The sequence below is a fragment of the Homo sapiens genome, chromosome 4 (genome assembly GCF_000001405.40).
Source record: "Homo sapiens chromosome 4, GRCh38.p14 Primary Assembly".
NCBI lineage: Eukaryota > Metazoa > Chordata > Mammalia > Primates > Hominidae > Homo > Homo sapiens.
Genome location: NC_000004.12, coordinates 177,461,668 through 177,474,236, shown reverse-complemented (window position 1 = coordinate 177,474,236; position 12,569 = coordinate 177,461,668). Strand labels below are relative to the sequence as shown.

Here is a 12,569-nt window from a genome sequence, read left to right as displayed (position 1 = left end):
ATTTGTACATAATAAGAGCAAAAGGTCTAAAGAGGGAGCTTAATTGTCCAATTAGATGTTATCAAAGCCTAATTGGTGGGAACAGAGTGTACCCTGTGACCTAATTCTTAAGAGGTCAATTGGGAGAAAAACATCATGTTTCCCACTAAATGCAACCACTTGCAAAGTCTTAGATGTCAGGTCTGCAGAAGTGCTCCTTTGAAAATAGCTCTTTGTAGAATTTTCTGATTTAAAAAATCCTGTAAATCAAACATCTCTTTTTAGGCTCTATGTATCACCAGCTATTTGGTTACATTTTATGATTATACAAATTTGGGTTAGGCATCAGAGCCAATAAACATCTTATGTTTTACAGATTCTTCCAAGAAAAAAGTGGACTATCAATCCAAACTGCTTATTTCTAGAATTAGATACTTAAGGAAATTTTGTTAAGGTCCCCAACATAAGCTACATAAACTTAACATTAAAGCCACTGGGATCAAAAGGGAGAAAGGAAGGGAAATAGCAATTATTGAGTTGCTACAAGGCATTAGGCAGGGTACTTTAGCTACTTTATGTGTGGTTCAGAATTTGATTTTCTCAGCCCTGTTAGGCAGATGTCATTGTCATTTTACAGAGGCACAGAGACTGATTTTCTAAAGTCATCCAACAACTCACTGGCAGTAGAGTCTAATGACTGCAAAGTCTACAGGCTTTCCACGACAAAACACTGTCCTATTTATTAAATTTGAGGATGAAAAAAGATAAACTTTGAGTAGAAACGGCATTAAGTGTTTTTCTTTGCAAAATTTGTCTTTGCTTAAACCCCAGCCAACCTTCCAGGCCTAAATTATATACCTCCTCTTCCATTTTCTTCCCTTTCCCTGCATAACTAGCCAGAAGTGACCAATCTCTCTCCTAACACTCCCCAAATATTGTTTTCACTATGACCAAATCATTCATATACTACATTCACGGTATGGCACTAAACACCAGAGTCCTTGACCTCTCATTACCAAGCACTCAGTGGGCTCACTGCCCTGTGTGCATAGAGGCCAACACCACCGTACTGGCTTTTGAGAAAAGACCAGCTGTTGGCCCTCAAGGAGACTGAGGAAAAGCTCAAATCTATTTCTCTGAGCTGGGGACTGGGTTGGGTTTTATAAGCATAAGGTAATGAGGTGTGCTCTGATTGGATCTTGCAACTAGGTGATGCTGGAAGGCATGATCTGACTGGATCTTGCTATGGGATGAAGCCAAAACTCAATCTGATTGGATCCTGGATCTTGCCATGTGGTGTCGGCTTCCTAACTCATTCTCCACTCCTTGGTGGGAGCACTCAAGTTCCACCTGTGGTTACACCCTTGGTTCAACTGGGCATGCTCAGGTTTCGTGACCTTCATGGCAACTTAAAATCAACTCGGAACTTTATTACATAAAAGTTGAACCAGATTGGTCTTGTGCAGTTACACTCTCACAAATGTTTCTTTAGTTTAATAGTCATGATGTCAGCTGATCAAATGTCAAGGAGTCCCCTGGCCCAAGCTCAGGGTAAATAACAGCCCAGGATTATTGCTAATGTCTTTGCACATCCCAATTACTGTCTTTAATCTTCCTTTTCCTTCCAAAAAATGGAATGAAAGAGTTTGCTCAAAATAATATTAATTTGGTAACTCTAATAGATACTTATGTTTCTGTGCTTCTACATTTTTTGGGCAAATTTGTTCCAGAGTCCATCCTATTTACATATGCAAACTTCCAGTTAGATTTGTAGGACCAGAAAATGAGGGGAGCCCTGAGTTTCATTCCATGGGGAGAACACAAGGCCAGCAGCATGGCTGGAGCAGGAGCTATGCCTCCGACTGTCTAGGCAGACAGGACTTCAAACAGCCTCACAGTTTCTCTGTGTGCCCAGGGACAGATGAAAAATCGACATATCAAACATATATTAGAAATGACCTAGATTGTGAAGGCCAGTCAGTATGATGGACGGCTCATGTCAGCAGACAACTGTATGAGCAAGGACTCTGAGGGTCGGATCTGTTGCCCTAGCACCCCCACTAAAGCCTGTTACTCTGTAAGCTCCTGCAATATAGACAATCCTAGAATGAAGGAAAGAGAAGCCTTTACATTGGCTGAGATGATGTGTCTGCTAGGGAAGGGGAATTAGCTCAAAGTATAACTTTTGTTGAATAGAAAAATGAAAACATATATTGCATGTATTATGTTCTAAGTGCTTTATATGAATTAAATGAATTGATCCTCAGAAAAAAACTATTTTTTTTTTTTTGAGACGGAGTGTCGCTCTGTCACCCAAGCTGGAGTGCAGTGGCACGATCTCGGCTCACTGCAAGCTCCACCTTCCGGGTTCACGCCATTCTCCTGCCTCAGCCTGCCCAGTAGCTGGGACTACAGGTGCCCGCCACTACGCCCAAATAATTTTTTTTTTTTTTTGTATTTTTAGTAGAGACGGGGTTTCACCGTGTTAGCCAGGATGGTCTCGATCTCCTGACCTCGTGATCCGCCCGTCTCTGCCTCCCAGAGTGCTGGGATTACAGGCGTGAGCCACCGCGCCCGGCCAAAAACTATTATTTACATTGCAAACTTACACACATGTACACAGAGACATTTTACTGAAGAGGAAGAAAAGTCAATTAGCTTGCCCAAGGTTACAAATAAGGTTGCAAATAAGTAGCAAAGTTGAAATTTTAATCAAGTAATGTTGATACGGGGTCAGGGAAGTGCCCGGTAAAGAAAAGCAAGTCCCTAGCTAGGGCTCCAACCCTATGGACCTGGGTGAGGACAGGCACTCCTGCTTTCGTATCCAAATGTTGCATTTTCCAAGACCACTCTGGCCCACCATGCCCCCATCCTGGGCTTATACCCTAGCAGGTAGACACGCAGGCGGCCTGATGTCAAGAGGAGCACATCAGCAGAAAAAGAAGCTGCTGGACATCGTGAAGAACACATCGGTGGAAGAAGACACAAGCTATTTCTCGACAAGGCTGTCGAGAGCACGCCAGCGGGAGAGCACGCCAATAGGCGCTGCCACGCCAGCAGGCCATCAACCGGCGGGACGAGGCAGAGTTTGGCGGAGGCAGTCAAAGGAGAGCCGGGGCCAGTGAGGAGCCAAACTGCAGCTCCCTTCTGGCTTCCCCATCCGCTGAGAGCTACTTCTAGTCAATAAAACTTTGCACTCGGCCGGGCGCGGTGGCTCACGCCTGTAATCCCAGCACTTTGGGAGGCCGAGGCGGTCGGATCACGAGGTCAGGAGATGGAGACCATCCTGGCTAACAAGGTAAAACCCCGTCTCTACTAAAAACACAAAAAAATTAGCTGGGCATGGTAGCAGGTGCCTGTAGTCCCAGCTACTTGAGAGGCTGAGGCAGGAGAACCGCGTGAACCCAGGAGGCGGAGCTTGCAGTGAGCCCAGATGGAGCCACTGCACTCCAGCCTGGGCGACAGAGCGAGACTCCGTCTCAAAAAAAAAAACAAACAAACAAACAAAAAAAACTTTGCACTCATTCTCCAAGCCCACGTGTGGTCCGATTCTTCCGGTACACCAAGGCAACAACCCAGGATACGGAAAACCCTCTGCCCTAGGGACAAGGTAGAGGGTCTTACTGAGCTGGTTAATACAAGCTGCCTATAAACAGCAAACTAAAAGAGCATCATGTAACACACACCCACTGGGGCTTCAGCTGTAAACATTCACTCCTAGACACTGCTGTAGGCTCGGAGCCCCACAGCCTGCATGTCTGTATGCTCCCCTAGAGCAGTGGGGCACTGAAGAAGTGAGCCACACCCCCATCGCACGCCCTGCGAGGGAGACAAGGGAACCTTTCCTGTTTCAGTGTCATTATTTACTATTAGCATTAGGAATAACATAAACTACTTAATTGCCACTTTTTGCAGTTATCAACGCATAGTGTTATTTTTCAAACAATGACAATAGTTTCCTAGTTCATTCACCTAAAAAAAAAAAATCTATGGTAAATAAGATTAGGCCAGGCATGGTGGCTCATGTCTGTAATGCCAGCACTTTGGGAGGTCCAGGTGGGAGGATTAATTGAGGCCAGGAGTTTGAGACAAGCCTGGCCAACACGGTGAAACCCCATCTTTACTGAAAATAAAAAAATTAGGCGTGGTGGTGCATGTTTGTAGTCCTAGCTACTTGGGAGGCTGAGGCAGGAGACTCACCTGAACCAGGGAGGCAGAGGTTGCAGTGCACCACTACCCTCCAGCCTGGGTGACAGCCAGACTCCATATCAAAAAAAAAAAAAAAAAAGATCATGAAACTAGCAATTGCTTTATAAGGTCTTTTTTTCTCTAAATGAATTAATTTAATTAGAAGCACATTCATGTGTTATATGCAATTACTAGAAAATGCAGCCAATAAAAATGTATGCGATTGATATATTCAATAGTATTTTATAGTTACTAAAATCCATCAGTTTTGCTTTTATATATATATAAAAAGGATTATTAGCACACCAATCTTTATTATAATCTCTCAACCATCCACAGAAGATTTAAAGATGTGGTTTTGTTTTCTAGCAGGACAAGAAAATGGCGTTCTTTAATTAAAGGTCTATTTTTCAAATCAAGATGCTTTAGCTCCTGCCTTTGACCATCTCTCTTTTGAAAAGGAAAGGAAGAAGACCCAACTTTGGAGAGTCTTGCCCTTCCTATCAAATTTACACTAACAAAACCACATCCAAATGGAAATAAAACTTTTTCTGAGACACTGGTTTCTTTAGCAAAATTAACACTAACCAGGGTAAAATATCTGCTCCTCATAACCGTAACTAACACACCTCTAAAACATGTTTCATTGCCACCAAACTGAGTTAGAATTGCTTTGATTGCAGAAGAACCTGGAATTTCAATTAACCTTATATGTTTTAAAACTCTCTTTACACTTTTTTCTTCCTTAACCTTTCCATAGTCAATGATGCACAAGGACCCTATTCCTTATACAAAATAAAATATAACTATGCAAGAATCTCATTAAAAACCAATTGGTTGAGCTGTAGATTTGGTTATTATTTAAATTCAATCATAGGCTTCATATTGAGCGAGATGGATACTACATTTCAATAAGAATAACCTAGCACCCTATTACAGGGCCTTGATTTCTTGATGAGTGGCACTACGTGAATTTTGTTAGCTGATTAACAAAAGGCAAAGTCCTCATAGAAGGGAGAAAGGAGAGCAAGAAGGAGACACCCAGATATAATGCAGATTTAAGTACAGCTTGGGCTACATTTGTTTGGAATAAAACCAGTTACTGGGAACTATTGTGGCAAAGCTGTCCCTTGAGATGGTCAGGAAGAAAACAGGTAGACATGTGTATGAAATTACTTAGATATTTTTCAGAGGTAATTAAAAGTAGATGCTTCCTTTGTCTCCTTTTCTTCCTGTGCCATTAATGCACATTTCATATATGCCTGATGCTATGGATTAAACCCCCCAAATGAATCATTATAAGCAGTCCCTAAATTATAAACAGACTTAGAATTCTAAACAATGTATTATTTGGACTTTGTAATGTTTCTTACAGAAACATTAATTTAGGTGGTGCTGAAGTAAGCTAATATGTATGCTATGTATTATACGAAGGAAGTACTGAAAATTTATAACAAATTTTTTAAAATATTCAGTCATAAAACAAGTAGAAAATATACTAAATTCTTAAATACATATAACTGTACAATAACAGTAATTAAATAAAAATACATGAAACAAATTGAATAAATGTTTTATCTGATTTTAATGATTATAGTGGAAGAAAGTAGTATTCATAATAAGTAAAATGAACACTCCATTGACATTATAGAAACAAAAAGCCTGGCATTTAATGGAGTTTAAATGTTCTTTTTTAAAATTTTAACAAATACTTAGAAAATACCCATCACATGGTGAGGTTGGTTCTTTGCTAGGTTTTATGATAATACCAATCCTTAAGGAGCTCACAGTCTTGTTTAATAAGCATTCTTTTTTTTTCCAGAATAATACCAACAAAAATTTATTTTTATAGTTAACTAACAAAATACTATAAAGGTAATTTGTTTGTTCTAAGTCCTTTTGTTCATATATCCATAAAGGAATTAAGCTTACTGTCTTTGTATTTCCACCAATAATTCTCTGAAATGAAATTCTTTTGAAGGCATGCTATTTTACTCCTAGCTTCTATTTTGTAACTTTTTCCAAAATGAACAAACGTTACCTGAATTTGAAATGCACTGATTGGAAATGTGTGGACTGGCATACAGCCATTAACATTCGTTAGCAAAATTAGATGGGAAATTTGATTTGGCTGCATTTCTGAACTTTCTCTTCATACATCTCTGCTGTTTGATTTGACGTAAGGAGTATATGACTTATAATTTAAAAAAAGAAAAAAGCAAGAACAGAATCTATTGAGGCTGGCACCACCAACCTTATGTCTCAGATGTGTTTGGAGCCACCTTACCAAATATTGAATCTGGAGCCCTCCATAGGCGGGTGCCTTGTCACTTATCTTGACAATAGAAGACTTGAAGGGACTTTCAAAATAGTCAACTACCTGGAGTTTGCAACAAAAATTGTGTGAGTTGGCACTTTCCACATGATATATGTAGTCTATGGTTTCTCCTGGGTAAACGTTAGGATAGTGATACTAATAGCTAGTACTTATTGATCTCTCTCTATATGCAGAAACTCTTGTAAGGGCTTTATAAACTCCCTTAATGTTGAGCTTTCATGCATGGCATACAGTCAAAAAAGTTTTGTTTTTTATCTGTCATAATCATTTTCCTATTTCCTGTTGCCCATATGTTGCAGAATTTTTTACATATTATGTTTCAGAATCACTCCAATTTTAAAAAACATTTAGCCATGTACATTTAGGACATCTTTGACTTTTCTTATTTTCGCTTTTTCAAAAAAGGACTGTTCCCACTTTTGTGTCATCATCATATGTATGTTCTTATTAGCACTTAATCCACTACAGAAAATCCTTTTCTGCTTAAAATAGCCAGATCAGTTTCTATTCACCAATCCAAAGTAAAATTTATTTCACTCTTTTTATTCTTTCTCCATCTTAGTTTCTCCATTTTTTTCTCACCTCTCTCACTTTTTCATTGTATTTTCTCTTAGTTTTAGAAAAGTAATGTGGTAAAATGTAGCATGCACAGTTCTTGTAGTCAAATGATAAGTTCAAACCTCAGTTCTTCTCACAAGCTATATGACTCTAGACCAATAACTTAATCTCTCATACATCTGGTTCTTCACCAGGAAAATAACTCCCAAGATTATAATAATGAAATAATATTAGCACCGTAGCATGTTGAAAGATCCTACGACATGAATATGAATGAGATTTTCTATTCCTGAGAAATCAATCTTTAGCCAGGAAGAGTTAGCACTCAGACGCTCCCGACCACTGTAAGCCCACAGCCTCAATGCTGGAGGGTGATTTTGGACTCTGACTCCTCCTTTATTCAAGTTCTAATTCAGGAGAAAGATTTGCAGCATTTACTTGCCTTGGAGCTGCAATATACCCATCTTGGACCTCTTTGTGAGTGACCAGGACCCAGACCTAAGCCAGGGATAGGCAGACAGGTATGTGGAAGGTCTGTACCTAGAGCTTAAGTCCTCTATGTGTAGATCCATCCCCCTGGCTGAGAAAAAGAGATGGGCAAGGCTTAGATATCAAAAAGTGAAAGGAAGCATGAATAAAGAGAGAGAGAAGTAGCCTGGGCAAAATGGTGAAACGCCATCTCTACAAAAAAGATAATAAAAAATAGCTGGGAATAATGGCGCATACCTGTAGTCCCAGCTACTTGGGAGACTGAGGTAGGAGGATCACCTGAGTCCAGGAGGTTGAGGCTATGGTGCACTGTGATAGTGTCACTGCACTCCAGCCCAGGAATAGAGTGAGACCCTATTGAGAGAGAGAAAGAAAGAAAGAGAGAGAGAGAGAGAGAAGTGACTGGCCTTCAGCCTATAGGACAAGGATTTCCCACTTGCACCATTCTCCTAAGAAAATGGTGGATTCTGCCCCTCTAACAGAGAGGAATAATCAAAGACCCACAGCCAGCCAACTCACTTGAAAGTCCAACTGTGTCCAGTCCAAGCAGACACAGTCCTTCCTGTGTATCAGAAGGAAGTTGAATGTAAAATATAGCGGCATAGGTAAGCAAGTAAAAGCAAAAGACTCCTTGACTTTTTTTTTTTTTTTGAGACAAAGTCTCCCTCTGTCGCCCAGGCTGGAGTGCAGTGGGGCAATCTGGGCTCGCTGCAATCTCCACCTCCTGGGTTTAAGCTATTCTCCTGCCTCAGCCTCCTGAGTAGCTGGGATTACAGGCGCCCGCCACTACACCTGGCTAGTTTTTTGTGTTTTCAATAGAGAGGGGATTTCACCATATCGGCCAGGCTGATCTCGAACTCCTGGCCTCAAGTGATCGACCTGTGTCAGTATGGGGATTACATGTGTGAGGCACCACGCCCAGATGACTATTTCTGGAAGGAAAGTCTAGGGTTGCAAATAGAACAAAAGCAACAAAAGCCTTACAAACCAGAGAATCCATAAGCTACAATTAGCTACTTGTAGCAAATCCAGATCCCAGAACCTTGAGTAATCCTCATTTTTTTCACTGAAAAACACTAATCAGAGAATGAGTTCCAAGCACGCTATATGCCAGGGTGATAATGTCTTAGTGAATAAGACAAGGTGTCTATCTTCATGCACTTACATGCTTGTGAGGAAGAGCACCAATAAACAGGTAAAGAAGCAAGTAATATAATTTCATATAAAAACTAAAAATATACAGGGTAAAAAAATAGTCATTAGGTAGGTTCGTTGGGGAAAATATATTTGAAAAGGTAACATTTGAGCAGAGACCTCTTTGTGTGAAAGAATAGCTCATGCAAATATCTGGGGCAAGAATGATCCATGCTTTGGGGTGGAAAGGATCAGAGTGTGCTCAAAACACAGCAAGTAAGCAACTGGGGTGGAGATAGAGAGAGGAAGAGAGTGGTGGAAGGATCCTAGAGTAGCTCTCAATCTTGGTTATACATCAGAAACTTCTGGGAAGCTTTTAAATTCCCTGTGCCGGCTGGGCGCGGTGGCTCACGCCTGTAATCCCAGCACTTTGGGAGGCCGAGGCAGGTGGATCACCTGAGGTCAGGAGTTCGAGACCAGCCTGACCAACATGGAGAAACCCCCGTCTCTACCAAAAATAGAAAAAATTAGCCGGGCGTCATGGTGCATGCCTGTAATCCCACCTACTCGGGAGGCTGAGGCAGGAGAACGGCTTGAACTGGGGAGGCGGAGGTTGCGGTGAGCTGAGATGGTGCCATTGCACTGTAGCCCGGGCAATAAAAGCGAAGCTCCATCTCACACACACATACACACACACACAATTCCCCAGACCCAGCTAAAGTCAGTATTTTTCAAGTCCCCAGGTGATTTCCCATGTGCAGTCAAGACTGAGAATCTAGGCCCTTCTGGGCCAAGTAAGGATTTTCGGCTAGGTGTAACAGGGGGTCACTAGACATTTTTATTTTGTTCTTTCATTTTGTTTTCTGTTTTGTTTTTTTTTTAACAGTGGAATGTCATTATCTAACTTACATTTGCAAAAAATAATTACAGTTCCAGTGGGCATGGAAGACAATAGAAACAAGTCAAAAGTAGAAGCAGGAACACCAACAACAAGCCGCTGTGGCCAATGTGGGTGAGAGATGATGCTGCAGGGACAAGAGGCAGCAGTGGAGGCGGTGGGAAGCAGTTGTGTTTGGAGCGTTTCATCGAGTCAAAAGCACGTGCTGATGAATGGAGACAGATTTGAGAGGAGAAAATCAAGGATGACTTCTAGGTTTTAATTCTGAGCAATCGGATGAAGGTGAGGCCACTTACTGAGTCACGTCGTAGGGTCTTCTAAACTTGGAGCTAGATCAATTTTGAGACAGAAACCAAACAAGAAAACATCGCTGATTCATTATGCCTTGTCAAATGCAATTCCTAAGCATATGTAAACATAATTCACACTGCTTTTCCTTCCTCTGCCTGAAGGTATAAGTCATGAGGCAGAGAAGAGCTGGCATTTCTCTCTCAAAGATCAGGGTGCTGTAAGAAGCTGTGCATGCCTCTTACATTTTTGTAGGAATGAGTTGGAAATTGCTGCAGGTAATGACAGTTTCTGAAATGTTTGGATTAGCTTTTCTGGAGCAGAGAATTTGGGCTGAGACCGTGGGTTTAATGATAAAATTATCATTTTTTCTTTTTTTTGATCTCTGCCTGTGGCATAGTCCTGTTAGACCTTCATGCTTAAATCTTACGAGCTATCACTTCAACTCTGTTTTGCTTTCTTGACAAAACAGAAGCTTTTATTAGGGAGATAGATGAACATATCAAATGAGCAAGGAAACAATTCCTACACAAAGAGGATTTCAGCATATGAAGGGAGTTAATCTCCCTTTAGGCAGATAGGTAGAATCCAAGAAATGGACAAAGGTGCCTTACTTACCTTGCTTAAGAGCAATGAGTTGTAGGTACACACACTACAGAAATGAATGCTTATGTCTACTCGAGAACATATGCAAACATACTAGTAACAGCTAGCCCAAATTGGAAACAATGCAATCAATCAATACCACAATGGATAAACAGGCTGTAGAACAATGTGCTACACAAGAATGAAAAAGAAGGAACTATAGCTACGTGCAGTGATGTATATGAATTTCACAGATGTAGTGTTGAAATAAAGAAGCCACACATAAAAGAATGCAGACTGTATGGTTTCATGTATGTGAAGTTCAAGAGCAGGCAAACTGTTCTGTGGCAATAGAGATAAGAACAGGGCTTATTTTTGGAAGGAGGTAGAAATTAACTAAGGGGAGATGCTGAAAATGTTCTATAACTTGATCTAACTGGTGATTGCATTGGTGAATTTTTACATGTAAAAATTCATCAAGTTATATACTTAATATTTGTACACTCATACATACACACATGTATACTTTTATACTTTCTATAAGAAATATATGTAAGCTATACATACAAATCTAGTATAACTTATATACTTCAATAAAAGTGATTAAATTGAAAATAATCTAAATGGTCCCAGGCTGGCCAACATAGCGAACTCACATCTCTACTAAAAAATACAAAAATTAGCTGGGCATGATGGCACACGCCTATAATCCCAGCAACTTGGGAGGCTGAGGCAAGAGAATCACTTGAATCCAGGAGGCGGAGAAGGCTACAGTGAGCTGAGATTGTGCCACTGCACTCCAGCCTGGGTGACACAGCAAATAGCTGGGATTACAGGTGTGCGCCACAGGGCCCAGCTAATTTTTGTTATTTTCAGTGGAGACGGGGTTTCGGCATGATGGCCAGATTGGTTACAAACCCCTGATCACAGGTGATCCACCTGCCTCGGCCTCCCAAAGTGCTGAGATTACAGATATGAGCCACCGCGCTCGGCCCAAATGATTTATTTTTGACTCATCAGCACTAGCTAATCAGAAAGGATACCCAGACTCTCAGAAGAGACACCAGCTTTTATGACACAACTGTGTGCACTACCCAGACATCTCCTCTGCCTTTTATGAAGATGATAAAAGAATCCACTGAAGAAACTGAAATTCTTGGCAAAACAGAGGATTTTATTAGGAAGATGGACTAACACATCAAATAAGCAAGGAAATAGTTAGATGAAATGAAAACTTTCTACAATATGAAAAACATAGTTCTATACTACAAACAACAAAATTTATATAGTGGGTTCAAACAGATACACCTGAAGACTCCAGGGTTTGTAGTCTTACCCACTCTGCTGTGCTTCCTTTGCACCAGGACATCAGGCATACGTTTTTGAATTTCCTCACTAGTAAGCCTTAGCCTTTGCTTGCACTTGCTCAAATATATATCTTTAAGCACGAGTCTATATCACCTAATTTATATGAAAGGTTTGCTTTTCTCATTCAACTCTGGGTATGACTGCATGGTGCTTCAGCTCTGCAGTTTCTTTTTCTTTTGAGATAGAGTCTCACGCTGTCACCCAGGCTGGAGCGCAGTGGCATGATCACCACTCACTGCAGCCTTGACCTCCCTGGGCTGAAGCCATCCTCCCATCTCAGCCTCCTGAGTAGCTGGGACCACAGGCGCACACCACCATGCCTGGCTAATTTTTATAGTTTTTGTCCAGAAGTGGTTTTGCCACGTTCCCCAGGCTGGTCTCAAACTCACGTGCTGAGACTCAGCCTCATGAAGTTCTGGGACTATTGGTGTAAGCCACTGTGCCCAGCCCCAGCTCTGGATTTTCAACCGAGCCCTGGGTACTGCATTTTTCTGAAAAGTGAGTGGGAAGCTTGGGCCTTTAAAGTCACTCTGACAAGACGATCTCCTACGCCTCCATCACTAGGCAGCCTCAAGTATGCCATGACATTCCCATTAATCACCGTTAAACAGTCTCTTCTACTCTGAGAATAGTGCCTTAGACAGCTACCATTTCATCACTTCCTACCCAAGATTGTATATGTCATACCTACATTCATGAGATGAGTTTTTAAGGTTAACTACTTCCTTCCCAATTCTCCTAAAA

The 12,569-nt window shown here is 41.1% G+C and overlaps 1 long non-coding RNA gene across 25 annotated transcripts in view; it reads right to left on the bottom strand.

The window, feature by feature from the left end:
• AGA-DT (AGA divergent transcript) overlaps positions 1 to 12,569 on the bottom strand; it is a 255,397-nt gene that overhangs the window by 223,674 nt on the left and 19,154 nt on the right. For 3 of the 25 annotated variants that reach the window (NR_183801.1, NR_183800.1, NR_183798.1), the window contains one exon: positions 5,734 to 9,913. The exons of 21 other annotated variants lie outside the window; for them this stretch is intronic. This is a non-coding gene — a long non-coding RNA (AGA divergent transcript). Of the gene's footprint in view, positions 1 to 5,733; positions 9,914 to 12,569 lie in introns of those variants that run through there. One more of the 25 variants, NR_183799.1, reaches the window with a different exon arrangement.